Consider the following 24,143-nt stretch of genomic DNA (forward strand, 5'->3'; position numbering starts at 1 on the left):
CTGAGCAGCTGCTTGCAGTGGCAGGCCCCTTTATGGTTCCGCCTCCCACTCCTGTGTGTCTCAGCAGGAAAAGGGCATCTCAGGCCCAGTGGTAAGGAGACCTCCCCTCCAGCCACTGATTTCTGGTGGGGCTCTGATGGGCCCCTGCCAGTGGTTCCCCTGGTGCTACTGGAACAGCTCTGCTCCATCTGGAGGATGAGCCATCTGAGGACCTGCTGGTGCTGGGTCGGGGGTGGAGACCATGACTAGTGGCCGTCCTTGCTGGGTGGAGACTGAGACCTGGCACTGTGCTGCTCCTCTTGGGTCTTGGACCCTCTCCTCCAAGAGTCCTCCTGGAGTTGCTTCATGTGCCATCCATGGTTTCGCAGTTGTGCTTAGTCAGGGGAGCAGGAGCAGGGGGAAGGGTCTAGCCATCTTGTTCCTCCATATGGCTTCTATCTCAGCCTCTTATCAGTAAAGTCATCCAGTGATTTATTGGGTTTTCCATCATGCAATGAAGCAGTATGGCTATAAGCCCAGCCCTGAATTCTGACATCCTGGGCTCCATTCAGTCTGTACCATGGCCTTGTAATGTGACCTTGGCCAGTGCATTCTCTGTTCAGGACCAGGATGACCTTCATGCCAGTGTCCTGAGCTGGTCCAGATTTATTCCTGCTGCCATGATGCAGTAATTAATAGTGAGCCCCTCTCACTCCCTTGGGACTTTGGGTTGGACAGTAAGTTATGTGGGCATCTCATCCCTATGGCTGCTGTGAGAATTCATTGAGTTAACCCAGGTGACCCAGGTGAAGTACTTGTAATAAATGTCTCAATAACTGTTACCTATTGTTATTATTATAAGAATTTATATCAAAAGTGTTATATGTATATAATACATATACATGTCCCACATCAGTCATTTATTAAGTATTAATAAAGCTCTACTTTTTAATTTTAGTAAACACGAATATAAATACAAGTTCTAATCTCTCCTCCCACACCCTAGTGGGTTGTCCAGTGTGCCCCTGGAGTCTGATGCTCACAGGTGAGCACAGCAGGGCAGTGAGTGGCCGCACAGATGCAGGAGGGATGCATCACTGCTCGGTGAAGAATAATGCCACATGGTAATGCAGGGCACTGATTTTGAGGCTCCTCTCCATTAACTTCATATCACATACACTGTTCCCAGGGTTATTCCTGCTCTCAGAAGCTCTTAGGATGTGAAGAGAGCAGTGACTCTCTTTGCTTTCAGGCTGGGACTTAGCTTAGGTGTCTGGCTGTTGGGAAAATTTGGGAAAAGCTTGGCATGTTAATTTAGAGAGGGAAGGATTTGCACAGTGAGGATAAAATATCATAAGGAGAATACAGGATGCAATATGCTGTTTAATTTGTGATATTCTCTAATTAAGATTATTTCATATTTTATGATGCAACATAGTAGCATGCGATTACTCTGCCCTTGGGAGTAAGCAATCTGGTGAAAAAACAACTCACACAATTAATTGATTCGTGGATTGTCCCCTCTTGGCGGAATCTGTTTGAACTTTGTTCCCCTGCTGGCTTATTTAGCACCCAGGCATTTTTAATAGTGACAGAAACAACTTTCTTGGTAATTTGCTTTGCTTGTCGATTACATTTTTGTGTCAGTTTAATGACATGTAGGACACCGGGCGTGGGGCCAGCTCTGCAAAGGTGTTGGTTTTACCTGTATTTTCTTGCCAAAGGATTTTCTGACAATATGGATGTTTGGAGAAGACTTACCAGTCTGTTTTTCAAAAAAGATTCATATTTACGGAAAACTACTTTTTAAAAGTTGCGAATAAAAGTCCTTTTTGCCATTCAGGGAAAGAACTGAAGAAATATTAGTCATTTATGTTAGGAATTATCCCTACTGCTATCTGCTATAAAGTTTTTAAGAGATAATCTTTTCTTCCCCAGTTTTTATTTTAATAATAGTTTTTAGTTATACAGATGTCTTAAAGGGAGTAAATGAGATTCATGGTTATACAATGTGGGAGTCAATGACCCATCAACTACTTTCTTTCTTAATCTTCAATAGCATTTTTCTTTTATTCTATAAAAAACTTTTAAACCAATTAGTTCTCCTCTGAACTATCAGACTTAAAATTGCTTGAAATTAATGTTCTTTGTACCCCAGTGAGATATTGAATCTATCTAAAAATCCTTCAATAATATGATGCCCTAAATGTATTTCTTAAGGGCTTTTGGCTTTATCTCTATAGCTATGTTTTCTTTTAAAAAGCGCTGGAGACCTTTTCACCTATGGAGTTATTTCTATGTTATTATTAAAAGAGCATTCAGAATAAGACATTTCTCAAAAACCTAATACTAGAATTATATCTTGTTTGCACAACTTTCCAAACACCTTTAAAAATATTTTATGTTTTCTTACCTGCCTTTTTTCCCCCCACTGGAAAAACCAAGGCCATTGATTCTATAGTTTTGTCATCCTGATGGGATACACTACGGGCCAGTGTGCTCATGCACATTCCATCCTGCAAGTGCTTACACATGGCAATTAATTTATGAAGTACACAGATATTTAAGAAAAAGTCATTCACAAATAGGTATCATATGATGTGAAAGTGAAACAAATGGAAAAAAATTCCATGCTCATGGATAGGAAGAATCAATATCGTGAGAATGACCATACTGCCCAAAGTAATTTATAGATTCAATGCTATCCCCATCAAGCTACCATTGACTTTCTTCACAGAATTAGAAAAAACTACTTTAAATTTCATATGGAACCAAAAAAGAATATAGCCAAGACAATCCTAAGCCAAAAGAACAAAGCTGGAGGCATCACACTACCTGACTTCAAACTATACTATAAGGCTACAGTATCCAAATCAGCATGGTACTGGTACCAAAACAGATATATAGACCATGGAACAGAACAGAGGTCTCAGAAATAACACCACACATCTGCAACCATCTGATCTTTGACAAATCTGACAAAAATAAGCAATGGGGAAAGAATTTCCTTTTTAATAAAATGGTGCTGGGAAAACTGGCTAGCCATATGTAAAAAACAGAAACTGGACCCCTTCCTTACACCTTATACAAAAATTAACTCAAGATCGATTAAAGGCTTAAATGTAAAACCTAAAACCATAAAACCCTAGAAGAAAATCTAGGCAATACCATTCAGGACATAGGCATGGGCAAACACTTCATTACTAAAACACCAAAAGCAATTGCAACAAAAGCCAAAATTGACAAATGGGATCTAATTAAACTAAAGAGCTTCTGCACAGCAAAAGAAACTATCATCAGAGTGAATGGGCAACCTACGGAATGGGAGAAAAATTTTGCTATCTACCCATCTGACAAAGGGCTAATATCTAGAATCTACAAGGAACTTAAACAAATTTACAAGAAAAGAAACAAATAACCCCATCAAAAAGTGGGCAAAGTATATGAACAGACACTTCTCAAAAGAAGACATTCATGAGGCCAACAAACATTTGAAAAAAAAGCTCATCATCACTGGTCAACAGAGAAATGCAAATCGAAACCACAATAAGATACCATCTCACACCAGTTAGAATGGCAATCATTAAAAAGTCAGGAAACAACAGATGCTGACAAGGATGTGGGGAAATAGGAACACTTTTACACTGTTGGTGGGAGTGTAAATTAGTTCAACCATTGTGGAAGATAGTGTGGCGATTCCTCAAGGATCTAGAACTAGAAATATCATTTGACCCAGCAATCCCATTACTGGGTATATACCCAAAGGATTATAAATCATTCTACTATAAAGACACATGCACACGTATGTTTACTGCAGCACTATTTACAAGAGCAAAGACTTGGAACCAACCCAAATGCCCATTAATGATAGACTGGATAAAGAAAATGCAGCACATATACACCATGGAATACTGTGCAGCCATGAAAAAGAATGAGTTCATGTCCTTTGCAGGGACATGGATGAAGCTGGAAAACATCATTCTCAGCAAAGTAACACAGCAACAGAAAACCAAACACTGTGTGTTCTCACTCATAAGTGGGAGTTGAACAAGAAGAACACATGGACACAGGAAGGGAAACATCATACACCAGGGCGTGTCAGGAGGTGGGGGGCAAGGGGAGGGAGAGCATTAGGACAAATACCTAATTCACGCAGGACTTAAAACCTAGATGAGGAGTTAATAGGTGCAGCAAACCACCATGGCACACATATAACTATACAACAAACCTGCACATTCTGCACATGTATCCCAGAACTTAAAGTAAAATAAAAAAAAAAAGTGATGTGAAAGTGAAGTGTTATGAGCAGCTCAGGTCCGACCATGGGGCACTCAGAAGAATTTGGAAAGCCCACATGGGAGGATTAACATCACATCAGCTCTGCACTCAGGGTGCTGGTCAAGGGTGAGGATATCAAGTAGGCCACTTTCTGGGTGCATCTCTGTTAAAAGATAATTTTCAGAAAGTGAAAGTGTGATATTCATATACATACAAAAACAAACCCATGAAGATTTTATTTTACTTGTAATCAGTGAGGGAACCAGATGTTAAAAGCAGTCCAAAGGAAAGTAAAAAAAGCACAAATTTATATGGAGTAAATGAACTGAATTGCAAATGGAGGCAGAACTGATTTTTCACAGGAACCCTGAAGTCAGCTGAAATTCCACAGAACACTACAAGTTTGCACATCCATCCCTTGCCTGCTGTTTACTAAGAGGTGCAAAATAGCTCGGTGACAATGAACAAGGTAAAAATCAGACCATCTGGAAGAATGTGCTATAGACAATGCAACATTTCTTCACTGAAGCACAAATTTTTTTTTTGCTACTCCATCCGTGGGTTCATTTTCATTCCTTGCCTCCCCTCCATAAGTGAATTAAATCAGGGAAGGGAGCAAGGGAAAAATCCTGCTTGTGCAATCCTTCAGCTCACTGGGAACAAACCAAACAAATGAATACACATTGTTTCTAATTCACTTGATGAAAGGCACACTTGAGTTATAATGGGAATGGCCTTTTCATTATTAGTAATAGCGTTTTATTACTCTTCCAACAATACATTGAGGCTGTTACATTACTTTTGAGTCCAGCTAACTACTGAACCAATACCCTACTGAAGAAAGATCAGAAACAACAAGAAGGCAGGAAGTAACAAAGCTTAATAAAAGTAGTGGTAGATTAGATAAAATAGTTACAATTTTACATTATGTATAAGAAAAACATTCCCTGTAATATCTTCTCACATATAATTTGAGTGCATCCTCTAAAGAGAACCATGCAGAGTCCATGTCCCAGTGCTGTCCTGCTCTGGTCTTGTGACCTGGACATGCCTCCTCTAGACCAGGAGGATGGGATTTAAAAGTTGGGGACTTTAGTTCACAGGTTCCTCATCCACTGCTTCAGCTTTTCCTTATCCACTGCTTCAGCATACAGTGGCAGTTTCTGAGGGCAGCTTACAGGTAAAGAGAATTTAAAATGCTCTCAAGAATTTAGGCTTTGGTCAGCTTCTGGGAAGGGGAGAAATGGAAGAGAGTGTTGAGGAACTAGTTTTCCTTCTTGGTAAGAAAAACAGGGTGCATGTACAAAAGAGCTTAAGGAAGTTTTGAATGGTGCATAATAACAAATTCTAGCAGACAAGATGAGCTAGTTGATGGGCTTAAGAAGGATCTTGAAACCCTGTCACCTGACTGGGCACTATATCTCACACCTGTAATCCTAGCACTTTGGGAGGCCAAGACAGGCAGATCAACTGAGCTCAGGAGTTTGAGACCTGGGCAACATAGTGACACCCTATCTTCACGAAAAAGAAAAAAACATTAGCCGGGCCTGGTGGTGCATATCTGTAGTCGCAGCTACTCTGGAGGCTGAGGCAGGAGCATCACTTGAGCCTGGGCGATTGAGGCTGCATTGAGCTGTGATTGTGCTACTGCACCCCAGCCTGGGTGACAGAGTGAGACCCTGTCTTTAAAAACAAAACAAACAAACAAAACCTTTGTCTCTCATGGGTCTGGTGCTCTAAGTCTGAGGAGAGATCTGCTCGGGGCCTCTTTTCTCAGATAGGAGCTTGATTAGGTGTCCTGACTGCTGAAAGCCACTTAGAGCTTTGTTTTGTTACAAAACCTACTGAATCTTGGTTTCCTCATCTAATAAATGGGGATAATGATAAGTACCTTGCAGGGTTGTGAAAGTAAAGTAAAATAGTGTATACAATGCAAAAGCAGACTGGTTCTTACTCACCGGTGACTCAGGGAACGCAGCTGTGACGGAGGCCTTCCTGAAGGAGGGTGCTCCTGCGGCTCTGCCTGGCTCAGGGATGGGATGGGAGGTGGCCTGGCACAGGGGAAAGGACAGGCTTTGGACGTGGAAGAGTGCAGATTCACATCCTGGCTTTGTCCCCAGCAAGCTATAGGTGTGGGCAATTGGCATCTCACTAAGGTCACCATCAATGCATCATTTCTGAAATGGAGATGATTCTGCCCCCGCAGTGAGAGTTTAGTAAGAACAAAATAAGTTTAGTAAGAACAGATTGAAAGCTCTGGGCATGTGATGCGTAGGAGATGGTGTCCTGTCACCATCATGTTCCTACTATCACCGTGGTGATTCAGCTACCTCCTGCCAGGCCGGAAGTCAGCCATGCCATTGCCCTCTTCTATTGGTCTTTGTGTTCCATTCCCAGTCTTCTATGGAGATCTGGCACAATGACTGCTCCCCTGTGCTGCCTCTCTGACCTCCTGGTGGATGGTGCAGTAGCTGCCTCCCTCCCTAGCCCTTGGCTCCCAGGCGGAGCAACAATGGGCCTTGGGCCATGAGCACCGGGCACCTGGGGGCTCTCAGCAGAGGCTGGGGAAGGCATTTCAGTGCTCAGAGGTCTATCTGTGACTGTGTGCAAAGGGAAGAAACTACACCCTGCCCTATTCCTGGACAAAACTTGGCAAAAACATCTCTTAAAGTCGGAGATATGAGGGCAAGCTATTTAACTTCTCTCAGCCTCGCTTTCTGTATCATCACAATGAGGATTAAATGTAGCTCATAGATGTTTGTTACAGTCTTCTGAGCAGGCCGCTTCTGGGCATATAAAACAAGAGCTTACTAAACGGCGACTCCAGCAAGCCCAGTGTCGAACTGGATTCCCTCCGTAGGTCTCAGGCTGGAGTGTACACAAGTGTGTCTTCACAGTCAGCCCAACACAACACTTATGGCAGAAGCCCCTCTTGGCAGGGGGCACATCCTCTCATCCTTAGGACCTGGCTCGGGTACATGCTGAGAACAGAGAAAGCAGCTCTCATTGGAGGTTTTTCCTCAGCATTTCCTCAGGGTGTCCTGAAGCCACCCAGCACATGGTCCACCCTCTTTCCCTTGAGCCTCTGATGGTTCCAGCAAAGTCAAAACCCAGGAGCAAGCTCTTCTCCACTCAGGCTGTTACCTAACCTGCTCTCTGATCATGCAGCTTCTGTTGTGAGAGGGTGCAGCCTGATAGGTGAGTGCCAGCCACAGCTCTCTGGGGGCAGAAAGGGCTTCTGTCTCCTGCTGTGTCCTGCATTCATGGTGCTGGCAGGGACAGTTTTACTTGAGCCACTGATTCCTGAAATACAGCACTTGAGCAAAGCTGCATTCAGTTCAGGGAACAAGGAGATATAGCAAGCGAAAAAAGAGAGCACTCTGGGCTTAAATTGTGGTGATGAAGATGATTTTTCAAAAGCTTCCTGGATGGGATGGTCTTTTGGGTTGGGTACCTCGCCACCTGTGTGGCTGACCTTTCCTCTGGAATTTCCTTGTGTTTGAGGCCACTGTGGTGCAGTGAAGTGGGGCCTGGCTTGGAGTCCGGTGTCCTGGGCCTAACTCAAGGTTCTGTCTCTCTCTAACTGAGTGATCTGAGATTATTTATTTATTTATTTATTTTGAGATGGAGTCTCACTCTGTCACCCAGGCCAGAGTGCAGTGGCGTGATCTCAGTTCACTGCAACCTTTGCCTCCTGGGTTCAAGCAATTTTCCTGCCTCGGCCTTCTGAGTAGCTGGGACTACAGGCGCGCGCCACCATGACCAGCTAATTTTTTTTTTTTTGTATTTTTAGTAGAGATGGGGTTTCACCATATTGGCCAGGCTGGTCTCAAAGTCCTGACCTCGTGATCCACCCGCCTCAGCCTCCCAAAGGACTGGGATTACAGGCGTGAGCCACGGCACCCGGCCTGAGATAATTTATTTAACCTTTTTGGTGCTCCATTGCCCCAGCTGCCATAAATGAGAATAATAAGACTTATGACTCATGTGTTGTAAGGAATAAATGAGAAAATCTGTGAAGTTGCCGGGCACTGAGGAGATACTAAATCAAAGTTCGTTTATATATATATTTTACTTTGCCAATCCTCGTGTTGACATGATTTTCCTAGGACTTTATTTTTTATTCCTATTAAATAGCAGTACTTTTATTATTTATTCTATCATTATTTATGATGGCTTTCTACTCGAGAGCCTCTATCCCCACGCTCTGTGGTGACACTTGGACCCTGAGAACTGAAAGCACGCCCTCCTCTGTACATCAGCATGGCACTGTGCAGGTCCTCTGCCATGAAGGCCTTATTTAATTTTTCCACCCCATCTCCTGCCTGGAAGAATGGTTTGGTTGTTTATTACAGGAGCTTCCTCAAAGACGCAACAGAGCTTCGGTGGAAAACATCCACAGTTCATGCTCTTAAGACTCAAAGGTGTCCCTCAGCTCAACGTCTTCACCTTGCTGTTTCCTTCCGTATCTTGGACAGGTTTGCCATGATCCTTACCCGATTCTAACTATGCCCTGCTTTAAGCCAAAATTTGCAATTTTCAGTCAATCCTGACTTCACCTTCCCGTCTCTCAGTTCTGACAAAGCTTGCAAGATGGCCTTCTCCCTTACTGCAGTTAAGTAACAAACTCGACTTCGCTGTCCCAGGTGGTATTGTTAATATTTGGGGAGCCCAGCTGCAATGATTCTGGAGGCGGGACTGAGACTCCACAGCCACAGCCCTTAGCTGGTAGACGAGCCCTCCCCAGGCCTAGGGCTCCTGATCACGAATCCGGGGAAAGTAGGTGCACTGGGGAGAACGCCAGTCTCACAAATGCCAGGATCTCAGATGCTGAGTTCATTTTATCTCCTAGGAGCAGGAAATGCTTTTTAGATCTCCATTGGATATCTGATTGGATTTGAGAAATGCTGTCCTTGGTGGAAATCTGACTCATTATTCACCCTCTGGTTTGCCTCTGCCTGTCCCTGTCATTTTTATTGTTCCCTACTAAGAGGGACCTTGATAGGAAACTATTCCTTGGGCCACCCCCAGGAGCTGGGAAGTTCCGACATTTTCCTTTGAGACAAGCATTCTTTGAAGACAGTTTGCCCCAGGTCAGCCATCAGCATATCTGCAGGACTTACCCCAGTCTTGCCTCCTTTTGTGGGAGGCAGAGTCTGGTTCTGGGAGATATGGCCTCTTCAGGCCTCTCTGTTGTTCTGGGGCCACAAGCCTCTTTGGGGGTTTGTAGCTTGATGGCCCATCTGTACGGTTGGGGGGTCTGGGGCATGTTTTTGACAGAACATTCCTAGACTCTCGTGCATTTGTCTCAGCCTAAAGCCCAGGCTGGCCTCTTGCCTCATGAATAATGTGTTTATGTTACAATGCCAATTTGTGGGCTTATCTTTCTAAATGGTGTGCTTTCACTAGGATGTTTGTTAAACTTTTGATATGATCAAGAGAGTTTGAGAGATGTCTTTGAAGAAAAAAGGAGCAAAATTTCAAACTTTGGTAATCTTTACTTTTTAATTAGTATGAGGAAGCATCAAAAAAATTTAGTTTCCAGAATCTCTTCCTTAAGAGATTCTATGACTAAGGCAAAAGAAAAAAAAAATTGGAAAATTTTAAAATTGTGTCTTTTAGAACTTGAACCTAACAGCCTACTATTTCCTTGCCACACCGTCCTCCATTTTTTCTGCCCCTGTCTCTCTCTTTGACCCACTCCCTTCCCTCCTGACAAGCCAGAAACTCCCAGGACTCAGCTGCATCTTAGAGTCAAACCTTCAGAACAGGAGCATTCGCTGTTGATCAGAAGACCTGGTCTTACTCTGAGCTGAGAGCCGTTGTGAAATTTTTCAAAAGCTGGCTGAATAGGGAGACATTTGCAGAGGGATTTAATTTTAGGAATTATAATACAGGGCTCTCTGGTATATATCAGTTGATTCATTATTAGTGAGGACCTCAGTTGATAAAAACTGGGTGGAAAAAGCAGGATGAGAAGCCCCAAGGAAGATTTTTAAAATCTCGAATTTCATAGAAACGAGAGGGGTTTAGAAAAGCTGTCAGTGTTGGAAAAGATCTGTAAAAGACTATACCCGAAGTCTTTCCTATGAAGAGAGATGGGACTTTGACCAGTCTTGTAGGAAGAGACAGGACTGGGGATGGGGGCCTCTGACACTGGCAGGCAGCCTCCAGGGTGGACCTTGAGTCAGATGGATCCCCACTCCCTCCTTGCTTTTTGTAAATGTTATTAAGCCAGAAATTGGGGATTCATATGTAAGTGCAAACTGGAATGAGAAATAAACCCAGCATCAGAACTCCTTGCTAAGCATTTTGAAAACACCTTAGAATGGAAGTAAAGTAGAACCTGAGTAAATGCATGGCTTTATAGATAAACAACCAGATGCCCCTCCCTTTGTGGTTCAGCCTCAGGGGAGGGAGTCTCTTGACAAAGATGCCCATGGATGCTGGAACAGAAAGGATGCTGGAGTAGGAACCACCTGTCTTGGCTAAGAAAACACAACATACATAAAGAGTGAAACAACTGATTCATACACTGCTCAGAGGGAATTTTCAAGGTGAAGTTGATCTAAAGGTTAAAGGATCTCTTCCAGCTTGTAGAGATAAATAAGTGCAAGTAGTGGATCGGAAAAGCTATGGCATGTTGAAATCTAAGTGAAACTTGCTTAATTTTGATGAGCTTGTTTCTTTGGTTTACTGTTTATTGTCATCTAAATTATGAAGGAGTATTTTTTCTGTGTAATCTGTCAAAGTACTGTCTTGCCAGCATACCTTTTTGGGCTTAATCAAGTTACCTTCTACGTTTATTTCTAAGCATTTTATTGTCACTTTCAAATAAGTAGCAATCCCCTGCAGTTACAAAGGGACAAGTGTATTTTAAAATATTTCAGCTTCCTGAACACCATCTAATATAAATGCAATGTATTTTTTTCAAAGTTCAACACACAATTATTTGATTTTTTTTTTAAGTTAATGACTGGCTATTTATTGGTCAGTCTTGTACCACCCCCAGACAGTAGATCTATCGAGGTGGTGCTGGCAACGATTGGGGTGGAAATGAGCATCTACATGTGCCAGGCTTTGTGTTAGGAGCTGCACACACACCACGCCATCTTTACCCTCCCAGTGACCTGCCATGGGCCCACCTTGTTTTGCAGATGAGGAAACTGGCTCTCAGGTTAAAGGATTTCAGACCCATGTTTGTCTTCCTGTCCTTCCCCAAGTGCTGGGCACAGTGTGGGCTGTCCAGGGACACACAAGCATTCACAGACATGTAAGAATGTCACAAAGTATTGTGACATTCTTTGGGAGATGCAATGATGTACTCACAAGGTGTGTTGGGAGCATTCAACTCCTAAAGAAGGTAATGGGCCACCTAAAAACGTGGCAACCAGCCTGCATCTTAGGTCTCAGCTGAACTAGATGGTCGGAAGTTCCCTCTTCCCCAGAGACTTCTCAAGGGCTCCCCTGTTGGGTGCTGCCCCTGTCTTCTTGTTTGCCTGGAAGGCCAGCATGTGGAGTTAATGGTCCTCATCTTCTGCTGCTATTGCCCTTAGACCACCAGGAAGTGTGGGCCAACGTCACCCTCTAGTCCCACGGGGGATTTTGCAAGCTCCCCGTCTGTGCCTTGCCATTCTTAATGGGCTTCCTGCAAGGGTTCTTAGGTTCTCTTTAGTGTAACTCTCTTACTACGTTCCCGATCTGGTGCCTGGGGAGGCAGAGGGCATTCACCCATGCCACACAGGTGCATCTCCATGTGTCCTTTTCTGTGCCAGCCTAGATGGCAAAAAGTCACTTGAGGTCTTCAACTTTCTCTTACATCAGAAGGAACTTGCTGTCCTTTTAGAGGTTGCCCCACAGGTAGTCCAATCTTTCTCTTAATTGGTTCTCTCAGGAAAACATGAAGTCTTCATGCCAGGGAACTGCTGGCTCACCATGAATTCCCAGAGAGAAAATCAGATAAGGTGGATCTGGGATATTTAACACACACACACTTTAAATGACTGGATTCCTTGCAATGCTCTCAAGTGTTATTCAGGGTAGCTTTTCTTAAAATGAAGAAAGCACTCACATTGTTCTCTCTCTTGCCCTTCCCTTCTCTTGCTCTGTATTTTCCTAAATACTGTCCCATCAGGTAGCTATTAGGAAATGTGCTGGAGGACATCTGAGCTTTGGGAAAGCAAAGCCCTTCTCAACTGTCATGAATTTAATTTAGGTTACATAACTTTTCCTTGGGCCTCGGCCAAAGAACATTTTTATTGGGAATAAGTTATTACTACTAAGTACTACATTCCTAATACTTTTGGATATTTAAGAATCTTTATCAGAAGCAAGTGGGACACCAGTAACTTTTGGTCCTTTCCAAATAAAATAACTTTGTTCAAATGTAGCAGGAATTTATTTCAGTGTTATGACAGATTTTAATTGTATTATTTACAATTCACTTATTTGTCTCTTAGAGGGGATGATGCCTTGAGAGAAAGTTTAACTGAATCAGATGTGGGCAACTTTTCAGCATTTCAGGACAAAGAGTGCTTCTCACCCTGTGCAGCTCTGCTGGGACTGGTGCCTTTGACCACCTTGGGCTGTTGGGAGGGGCACCATGGAAGGGATTTGGAGATGGGGTAAGGCCAGTGAGTCAGCGCTGGGCTCTAGATGCAAGGATAAGGGGCTGTGTAGCATCAGAGTAAATCACCTGTGATGTCAAAAAGCAGTGCTGAAATCAGCATCCATCCAACGAAAATAAGATCTTTTTTGTTTTGAAAACATCGTAGGTTATAGAAGCCACAAAACATTGAATGAAAATAAGAATTCTTTTAAAAATGCAAAGGGAAGGCCAGGTGCGGTGGTTCATGCCTGTAATCCCAGCACTTTGGGAGGCCGAGGCGGGCAGATCTCTTGAGGTCAGGAGTTCAAGACCAATCTGGCCAATATGGCAAAACCCCGTCTCTACCAAAAATACAAAAATTAGCTGTGCGTAGTGGTGCGCGCCTGTAATCCCAGCTACTTGGGTGGCTGAGGCATGAGAGTCACTGGAACCTAGGAGGTGGAGGTTTCAGTGAACCGAGATTGTGCCACTACACTCCAGCCTGGGCAACAGAGCGAGACTCTATCTCAGAAAAAAAAAATGCAAAGGGAAGTCTATTTTTCTTCCAAGTAATATCTCATATGATATCATCTTGAGCATTTTGGCTTGGGTAGCTCTCTCTGCTTTGCAGTGGAATTAATTTTATTTTTAAAAATTCATTCATCTCCAGGTAATCATTGCCCTCTGCTGATGCAGGCCATTCTTCAGCAATTCTATGGAGTAAGAGCCTTCATTTCAGGTTTCAGGAAATCTTTTTTTGTTGTAAAATGAATTCACAGTAAAACAAAATGACAGTTGATAGATTCTTTTATTCAGAACTTACAAGTTCTTTATAATCATGAATACATCCTTACTAATTTGAGTAAATGGCCAAACCTCTGATAGTGACAGACAGAAACTCCGGGTCAGAGAAAGCCCAGGTCAGCTGCGGTGGGTGTCACTCTTTCTCTGTATGGTCAGAGCCCTTGTGAACAAGGGCCTGTTTGCTTTGCTTGCAGAGTAAAGATGTTAACTCTCCCCAGTAGATTAGATTTAGTGTCTGGCCACATCCTTAGTTTACAATGTTAAACAACAGAGATCCTGCACTAACCTTGTAATGCACTGTCATCCTCAAAACTTTAAATTGAGTTAAATGAATAGCACACAAGAGGTATGTTGTTGAGAGCCACATCTGTTTTATCAGCAAATGCGTGACATCAGAGCCATCTTCTCTGCTGCTTTTAACATCCCATAGTTGCCTCAAAGGCAGCATAACTGAGTAACATTAAAAGGTGTATGTAGCTTAAGGTTGCTGAATCAGAAGCCTGCAAATATGGTTTATTAATTTACGAGGCTCATTCAGGTATATCTGGATCTCTCTGTGATTGTTCTAGTCATTGTCAGATGGGTGTTTACTGAAGGCCTTGTCTCAGCTCCCCAGCCTTTTTGGGCACAAGCTGAAAGTACTGCATGTTAATGAATGTCACTCTTCAGTTGCAATTCCACTTTCACTGCCCCAATTAAAGCTTTGAAACATGCTGCAAATTTACCCGTGCTGCCATCGAAGAGTATTTGGAGGGTAAAATAAAAGAGAAACTCTGGTTCTGAACAAAATACCTGAAATTACAGTTAGAGTAAAAGTCATTTACAAAGAAGCAATGCTGAAACAGTCTGGCCAGCGACCCCAAAACTGCCATGTAGGGTTTGTTTGGGTAAACCAGCCAATTTGGCTGTATTGGGAGTATCAATTTGATGAGCTTTGCCATTTTCTTAGGCATAGCATGAGGCCCATAATTGCTTTGTTTCCTTATGCAGGGAACACCAACTCGCGTTAATTGGAGTTCCTAACTAGATTAAGACTGGTTCGGAGAGAGGTTGTCTGTTCTTCTGGTAGTTGTGTTCTGAGTTAGGGGAGAAGGCACACAAGATTGCAAACCTGGTTCTAGTAATGCCTCCTATTTTTATGCGCTGGCTGCACCCACATGGGCAGGGCTGATGGTGGACTCAGTGCCAGCTACAGTGGCCAGTGGAGGGTGTGGCCAGTGCTGACTTCTGTCTGTGAGAACATTGCATGAATGGGGATGGGCTTTTGGCAAAGCAGCAGGAAAGGATGGGATGGCTGGGAGGGGCTAACTTCGAGAAAAAAGTGTTACAAACCATGTACTTATCATCTACATTTTGAAATCTCTGACTTTGCATCCCTAAAATCTAAAGTTGGCCCTAACAAATACTCCATTGGGGGAGAATTTGGGTGAAGTCACCATGGATGGCTTACTTGTGCTCTTTCAGGATGGCAAATGGCATTTCTTATCTTCTCCACACTGGTCTTTTCAGTTGCTTGCCAAGTTTAAGGGGGAAAAATCCTTTAATTCTGGTTAGAAGTGATTTATGTGTTACATAAAGGATAGCTTGGTTGGTTAACATGAAGAGAAGTGTGCTAGCTTCTAAACAAGTTTATGTTCAGAAAGCGTTTATGCATGCTTTGTAGGATAGCACTGCTAGTAAATACCCGTGATTTAATGCCCTCCGTACACCTTGATCTCAGCATCCCCTCTTTACTGACTCATTTTTCTGCCTAAGCGCACCAGTATATAAAACAACAAATGCATTGTGTTTGCTGAAATTCTTTGGTTTATATTTGCAAAGGTGCAATGAATTCCAAATTAAAAAATAAAATTCTCTGATGAAAATGTTTCTTTTCCTATGTTTTAGGTTTTGCATCTTGACCTTCAAAGGGAATTCGAAAATTGGCACATGGTAAAGCCAGAGCTCCCATATGATTCCACACTTCTAGTCCTAAAATTCTGTTTTCATTTATCAATGAAATCAGGAAATGCTGTGCCATTGGTAACATTTTGACTCTCCAAGTGTTAGCATTAGATCAGTTTTTTGGCTATGTATTTGTAATTGTGTAGATCAGAGAGCCAAGACAAATTCCACTCTCCACTAAGTGTGGAGAGGGGAGCGTTAAGCATTTATGCTATAAAAGTCTCTTTTCCTTTAACCTGGCATTTGCAGTTTGTAGGAACAAATTTTGTGTCCCTGTTCCGGTAGACTCAGTGGATGCCACAATGGTGTGTCTCAGTGCTTTGTGGTTGGGAACAAAATTTCATGGTCAGTCACAAGTGGAAAAAAGTTATTCTGCATGACAGGCATGGCCATGATGGAGGACTGTGCGGTGGCTTCTGCAGCCGCAGGGTAATGTCACCAGGCACTTAAATGAGCGGGGGCAGCGGCTAGTGGAATCTCTTCAGCTGTTGGCACTTCATTTCTGGGGAGAGCTTGTTCCCAAGTGCGTGAGTGATTCTGTGCCAGGACTCATTTGTTATGACAAATGCAGTTCTTATATTTCTGAGTATGGTGGGAGCTACAATGTTTGCACAGGGCACCTGTCATCAGCAATGATATCTCTCCAGGAAATTTCCAGCGCGTTGTCCACAGATGCTTCTCTAGAGGTAAACATCCTCTCAGGGGAGCTGACTTCACTAGGTGACTTTCTGGGGCTGGAACCTGAGCTGATTCCGCGGAACACTCAGTCCTCTGCACAGGCTCCCCATTCATTGCCCCAGTCATGAATTTATTCCCTAACACTCATTTTGTTGCTCTTTAAGGCATGATTTGTTTTTCTTAAGAATTCCTTATATAATACATGGAGCTTCTCATCAAACCTCCATAATTGAATGCTGTGTAGAGAACAGAGAAGACAATTAAACAAATATGAATTTATATTATTTCTATGAAAAGATGCTGCACCGACTAAGTGTAACCGTTTAGGCCAGCAGGTTAGATAGCCTGCATTTTGCTGAAACACACACATCAGTGACACACTTTAAACACAATGTGTTTTAAAATGCAGGGATACCGTGGATTGCAGTGAGTCAGGGATCCTGGATGGGCGAGCCGGGGGAGGAGTCCAGTGCCCAGGCTGTAACGGCTCTGTTAGTTCGGATAAATCGCACAGCCCTGGTCCCGGATCCCCAGTCTTCAAAGCCAGAGTGTCCGGTTACATTTTATAAGTAGAAACTCAGATTCAAAGGACTCACAGAGATAATCTAGCCTTAACTGGAAGGCCCTTCATACATACTTTTGATATTTATATGCTTTATTTTCACAGGCACTATCTTCTGCCCGTCTTTTTGTAGGTCAGTGGTTTGAAGGACGGTGCCATGGTCATCCTTCCCAGCGCAGGGCCGGCGTGGCCCTGGGCGGCTGCATCATCCCCATGGAGGCTGCCCTGCCCGGGCTGTGCATGATCTCACAGGCGCGCTGCCAGGGGCTCTGCTGTCGCCAGCCCGGGCTCCGGGCGCTTGGGACAGCTCGCCGGACAGGACAGGGTGACTTGTAATTTACTCCCGCCTGTGTGCGTCTGTGGGGCGGTTTCTCAATCAGTGCAGGGCTTGCTGTACAATTCCATGTTTAACTAGAGGCATCTGGTGCCTCTGCTGCTGTTTACTGAAACCCTTCGTTGCACTTCATAAAGCGGTTGGCCGGGGGCTGTTCTTCCTCAGGCGCCCAGCCCGCCCCGAGCTGGCTGGGATGAGGCTGTGGGAGCGAGGTCTGCAGGGCGGGCTCCGCGGGCCTGTTTGGACGGATGCAGATGCTCTAGCGGATTTGCTTCTACTTCAACCCCTGGGCTGTCTTAATGGGATTTGGGCCTCTTGGCCAATGCCAGTTCAGAGAACCATTAGACACTTCCTGGAATCTTTGCTTCACCAGGAACCGCTCCATGTTCTGTGCCGGGGCTCCTGCCGGCTCCCGGCAGGACTCGAGGTCCAGGCGAGGGGCCCTCCGTGTCTTCTTCCCCTTGGCGCCACGTGGGTCTTTTGCTAACAGAACACAGCCCCTTCCCAGCTGGGCGGTCCCCGCAGTCCAGGCTCCCCTCTCAGCCTGGGGATGCAGCCTCGCCAGGCGCTCCTTGCCACCCTTGCGAGGGACATGGGTTGCTTTCTCTTGCATTCCACCGCCCCCCTGCTCATTTGAGCACTTTGGAAACCCGCTGGTGGTGGCTAAGGCAGATGGAGGCAGGGCTGGAAGGGGAAGAAAAAGCCCAGGGAGTAACTAAGTGTCAAGGAACTCATTGTCTGCTCTCCACCTGTTGTTATTCTGGTCCCAATCAACCTGCTCGCCAGGCTGGAGCCAGCGGCCATCTGGAAACACTGCTCTGTTTATAAACTTGGCATGAAGCAGCACTCCCGGGCCCTGACCTCCCACACGAATCTGGAAACAATTAGAGCAAGATGATAGGCAGGCGGGGAGCGCTCCGGGGAGGGGAGGGAGGGGGCGCCACAGAGGGGGGCGAGCGGGAGCCAGGGGTGGGAGGCCGGTGGGGGAGGAAGTTGGGATGGATTTGGGAGGAGCGGCGGTGAATGGGGATTGGGTGGTAGGGGGGCGAGGGAAGCCTGGGTCTGGGCTGGAGCTGAGGGACTGGGAAAGAGTCTGGGGATATCTGGGTCTGGGCGGGGTCCGGGTGGGAGCCAGGGATGGGGTGAGCCAGGGGGAAGGGTGGGGATCCCCAGGACGGTGGTTTTGGGGGCCCTTGTGGGTCTGGGAGAGTCAGGGAGGAGTCTGGTGAGGTCTGGGCCCTGCTGGGAACTGGGGACGGCCAGCCCTCCTGGGGTGTGAGGACCAGGAGAGGGGCCTGGGCTGTTTGCTGAAGATGGTGTGATGGCAGCCAGGCTCCACACTCCCCTGCGGCCTCAGCCTCACAGGGTGCCCTTCCTGGGACCCCCTCAGGCAACAAAACATACGGGGTGGGGGGTAGGGGGAAGGAAGTCATTCCTGCCTGTGCCTTCGCTTTGAGCAGCGAGCAAGTGGACTCTGGTGAATGAAGTTCTCTCTCACCTTGTAAGGAATGCATTGTAGAGTTTCAAGTCATTTTATTAGTTTCAGAAACACATTCTTGAAGAGCACTTTTTAACCAAAGGAAGTTTAAGCGTGTCCCGTTTTGCTGGAGAAAAGCTGAGATTCTTGGGCCATGGGGGGACATTCCTATACTTGCAGAGCGTACAATCTAATCTGTGTAGACGCATGCCATGTTTCTGTGTCTGGGGAGCTGATTCAGGCTTTCAGAGTCCTGAGTATTTGTGAGATGAATGAGTCTCTTCCTCTTTTCTCAAGAAACAATCTCTTTCGCTCGCTTTTTTCCCTGCAGTTTTGAAATGTGATTCTTAGCTCCGAGTCGATGCTGTTTTCACGCTCAGCTGGGTTTCTAACTCCTGAAATATTAATCTGTGGGAGTTGCTGGCAAACCAATAATTGGCACCAATTAACAAGCTCCTCGTTGGCCAAATGATACTTGAAGAGGGAAGTTGACTGTGCAGGTCTTCTTGGCTCCTGGGGCTCAGGCCCGGCGGCCTCTCCCTGGCCTCTTGTCCTGCTTCAGATGCACAGAGCTGCTGATTTCAGCCGGGAACATTGGCCCCGAGTGCATCTGCTTAGATCTTTAAGAAGAATTAATCCGTGGAAAGCGGTGCCATCAACCGACACTCGTCCTCCCGCCCTTCCCTGCCCAGTCCTCGCCTGACTGGCCTCTTCCCTACATGCTGTTCTCCACGTTGCCTTCCCGTGAGCTTTCCTTTTTGCCTAAACACATTTTTCAGCTCCATGTTTCTGACAGACTGGTTACTAAAATCCAACCCAACAACGTGTAGGACGGCCAAGTGTATAATATGCATCAAGGTGAAAAAATAACCAGCAAGGCCTGCAGAGGTTTGGGGCACAGCCCACAGGGCACGGCAGTGGGAGCTGCACCTGGGTGGTGCTTGTTGCCCGGTGGCTGCAGCTCCGCACAGGGCTCATTGCTGTCCCTGGAGAGGCTGAGTCTGGTAAACCAATTTTTCCCTTTGAGTCTTGTTGCAAATGGATGCATTTGAACTGTAATATAAAGTATTGTGTTTATTTAACCCTGCAAACGGATCTCCTTTGTCTTTGTGAACTGGCTGGGCAGCTAAAGACCCACATTCCTTCCACAGTTAATAAAACTTCTTATTTTTCTCTGTGCTTATAACTTTAATTACACTCAGACTCATTTAGTCTACTTCAGTTTTTCAAACCACCTAAATTAAAAAAGAAACAGCCTCTCTCAATGTGCAACATAATCATCATCTTTAGATTAAAAGACACAAATTGAAAACGCATCTTGTCAGTTTTGTCTTCAAGGCGTCATCTTAAGTATTGTCCATTTTCAGACCTGGAGCTGGTAGAGATGTGAATGGACTGGGCTGTACTTCCACCTGAGAGAAAAGATTTATGCTTTAAAGGACTCCATTACTAAATTTCAAACTTATTAAAATAAAACAAAAAAGCGCCATAAAACAAAAACCAAGCCAGATCTAGTTTACTTTATATAAGACTCTGTACATTCTCTCAGATATTCAGAATGTACTTGGGTTTGCATATGATCAGGAGCTGGAAACTGAGCTGCCTGGGTAAGGCCCCAGCCTCGACGCATCTCCCTCACAGTGGTTAACACAGTTTCCTTCTGTGCCTGTAGCTCCTCACGGGGTTTTCATGAACATTAACGGCATTTCTGTAAAGTGTTTTGCTCCTTCTGAGAGACGTAAATGCAAATATCAGCATCCAGGAGCTCCCTGAATCTCTGGGCAGCCACCTTACAGACTGGAGTTTCATCCTTCAGCTAATGGCTGAAGTGTTGTCTAGTTTGGCCTTCTCTTGAATCTTCTCAAAACAACATCTATTCACATGGTGCTTAAAAATGATCTTTTGTGATTAAGAACACCACGGCCTACTCTTAGTTCAAAGCATTCATCTCCATTATCAGAGATTTGCTTTCTTCTCCTTCCCCATGGGCTCTCTTTAGGGAGCCCTTACGTTTTCCTCTCTGGACAGATTCATTGCTAACCGCTGCCTCCTCTGTTCCTATCTGTTTGCTACCTTTTGGGTTTTTCCTAATTTGATTGGTAAGATTAAATCTTTGCTCTCCCTCCATATACAAAAATTAAAAGTTGAAAACCAAAACTTCAAAGCAAAACAAAACCTAGATATTGTCTAGAGAATTATTTTTTTATTTGATTACTTCTTGAAATTTCATTTCTACATAATGTGTTGTTACAATAACATTTTGCTTCAATGTTTGGCCCAAGGAAGACTTTACAAAATGATCATCTTTGTGACTTTCTCATTGGGTAGTCAGTAGCTAATGGGGAACTATTTGCTGAATGGAAGAGCACAGCTTTTAGGTTTTCTCTCCTGGAGAATGGAGCTATAGAGGAAAGTAGCTTTGAGGTATTCTCTCTTTCCAGAAATGTGCAGCTATGTAGCTTGGATTAAAATTCTAAAATTCGTGACCTCGAACCCCCATCTAAAGACTGGACATTTTATCCCTGCTCCAATCTTGTTTCTGGGGAGATGTTGGAGGGAAGCAGAGTCAGGAGCATTTCCAGCCCCCTGGTGCTGCTGTGTGGACTCTACTGGCTGTTTGATGACCAGATCCTTTAATGGAGGATGATTTTTAAGGGAAATGTAGGACTAGGCCCTCTGTGGGTTAGTTCCAATGATTGCTCGCCTCTTTTTCAGAGGAGTGAGTAGTTCTTGGACCTTTGCAGTTGTTCACAGCAGTTCAGACTCCTGCAGCTACAGATAAGCAATGGATGAGACTGGGCTCAAGCCCACATAAGACTCGCATGTGGTGCTAGCGATGCTTGTGTGAGCATGGCGTGCTCCATTAGGGCTTCTGTAGGAAATGCTCCATAAACCTGTGGTGCCATGGTGGAAGAGCTACGTAGGGAATGCCGAGAGGGCTGTCTGTGTGACGGTCCCTCTGCCTGTCTGCCCTTCTAGATAACGTGCATCATGTCTGCCTCCTTCGCCACTATACACCTGGTTCCTAGCATATTGGCTGGTGAATTGTAGGCATTCAGTAAAAATGTGCCGAATGAATGAATGGCCGGCAATATTTTTTGCTTTGAGAAATTGAGAAATATAGCAAAAATATCAGAAAGTCCAAGTCTAAGCTGGAGGGATAGTAATCAAATAATGTTCTTTCTATCTCCTACTGTTCCGCTCGAAGGAGGCTTTGCCACGTAAACATATTTGTCATTATTACTATTATTGGGAAGCAGCATTATGCTGCTACTAGTGGTGATAATAGGAACTGGAATTTTGCAATGGGGGTGATACTTGCAGACATATTGTTATATCATCTTCATCTTGTGTCCTACAGACTTCTGGTTTTGGTTCTACTGGAAAAGGGCAGGTATCTACTGAACAACAAAGATTTCTCATTTTGAAATTCACATCCACTTATGGTTTGGCAACTTAATGTGCTGGAAAGCAAAACTTTGCAGAGAGAGAGAGGAGAGACAACACACACACACACACACGCACGCACGCACACACAAACACATTTTCTAAATTCCTTAGCATATCAAGCATGGGCGATTCAGAGCATAGAGTGTCACCCACCAGCATCAAGAAGATACCGCCATGGTGGTGCTGCTCCAAGGAAAAGGAGTGCATTGACTAAGAGGTCAGAGAGCCCAGGGCCCCAGTGCTTCTGGTACAGAGGTCTACCAAAAGAAGGTAGAGCCTGTTTCAGTTTTTTTTTTTTTTTTTCTCTGAGATGGAGTCTCGCTCTGTCACCCAGGCTGGAGTGCAGTGGTGCGATCTTGGCTCACTGCAAGCCCCACCTCCCAGGTTCGAGCGATTCTCCTACCTCAGCCTCCTGAGTATCTGGGATTACAGACGCGCACCACTATGCCCGGCTAATTTTTGTATTTTTGGTAGAGACGGGGTTTCACCATGTTGGCCAGGCTGGTTTTGAACTCCTGACCTCAGGTGATCTGCCTGCCTCGGCCTCCCAAAGTGCTGGGATTACAGGTTTGAGCCACTGTGCCCGGCCTATGCCAGTTCTTACTAAGAGCTTAAGGCCTACCTCAGGTACATTGCTTTAGAAACATTCAGATTAGCATGGGGAGCCTGGAGAACTCGAGGGCTGGAGGCCTCCCCATCTCTCAGGATATGAGGGCTGTGGCTCATGGGAGCCCCATTCATAGCCACCAGGACATGGGCCCTGTGCATACCTTTGGCCCATGGGCAACATCAGAAAGGCTGGTGAGTCCAAGTTATCCAAAGGGGAACGTTTGAAACAACCCTGGTGGGGGCTGTGAGGACGCTGGACAATCACAATGCTGCTCACACCTTTCCTTCTTTTCTGGTTTGTAGAGGTAGGGAGTGACAAGGATTGTGGGCTTCCGAGGGCAGGGTATAGTCCCTGTCTTCAGGGACAGGTGCTCTAGCGTCTAACAAGCTGCCTGGAATGCAGGGGCCCCTCAAGTGAACAGGGGCACATTGACTACTCCTGTAGCGATGCTCAATACAGCTTTGTTGAAATCAGAATGGTCCTGTCTATTCCAGATGTTCTCTTACTAAGGCTGTCCCCGACTGCACAGAAATACTGGACTGAACAGCAGGCTCACAGCAACCTTACTTATTGGGTGTATGCATGTATAGGTATTTCTATTCTGTTCTTCTGTATCCCTCTTTTACCAGGCCAATCATAGTTTATTTCTGTTTGGACGTCTGTGGAGTAGTGGCCACAATGGTACTTCTGTTTTTGTTTTTACTTTTTCATTTTTTTGCTTCTAAACTGTGCAAATTTTTCCGGTGTATCATCTCTACTGCTCTCACTTTGCGTTTTCTTTCTCTTTCAACCTCTGTTCTTTTATTTTGCCTTCCCCTCCCATTCTCTACAAGGTGGTTATTCCAAGCAGTGATCTTAGCCGTGACTGCAGCTTGTTCAGGTTCCCATCCTAGCTCAGAGCTTCCACTCAGAGCCCACACCTCATTCCACACACAGCACTCTGGCCACTGTCTCTCTGGGAGATGGATAGCAAAAATAACCCCAATTCTCCCTTCTTCCCTGCAAAGATATCCATACCATTTGCAATATGACTTTGCAATTTTCCCATTTGAGGCTGATCTATTTCTCCAGTCTCTGGGGCTGCATAGTCTAGTGACTTGCTTTGGCCAATAGAATGTGATAGAATGTGCTGGTTCCAAGGCTAGTCCCCAAGAGGTCTTGCATGCATCCTGTCTTTATTTTGGAACTCTACCACTGCTATGAGAAGTGTCTGGGCTAACACTCTGGAGAATGAGTTTTTGTGGAGCCCAGCCACTCTCAACTGTCAAGCCCCAGCTGACCTACACAAAGTACCAACTCATGAATGAAGCTGGAGGACACCAGCTGAGCCCTTTCCAGATCAGTAGAGCTTCCTGGCCAATCCATAGCCCATGACAAACAGTACATCATTGATTTTTCAAATCACAACATTTTTGGTGTGGTTTGTTGGGCAGCAATAAA

At 44.9% G+C, this 24,143-nt stretch overlaps 1 long non-coding RNA gene across 1 annotated transcript in view, besides 1 other annotated feature; it reads left to right on the forward strand.

Moving 5' to 3' along the window:
- LOC101929268 (uncharacterized) overlaps positions 1-24,143 on the forward strand; it is a 146,944-nt gene that overhangs the window by 12,961 nt on the left and 109,840 nt on the right. The window lies entirely within an intron of this gene.
- Positions 17,063-18,647: an enhancer, noted in NCBI's record as "VISTA enhancer hs1431". NCBI's record gives its function as "enhancer in: limb[7/7] | branchial arch[7/7] | facial mesenchyme[7/7]" and the evidence as "EXISTENCE:transgenic organism evidence [ECO:0001131][PMID:17130149]".

The sequence above is a fragment of the Homo sapiens genome, chromosome 8 (genome assembly GCF_000001405.40).
Source record: "Homo sapiens chromosome 8, GRCh38.p14 Primary Assembly".
NCBI lineage: Eukaryota > Metazoa > Chordata > Mammalia > Primates > Hominidae > Homo > Homo sapiens.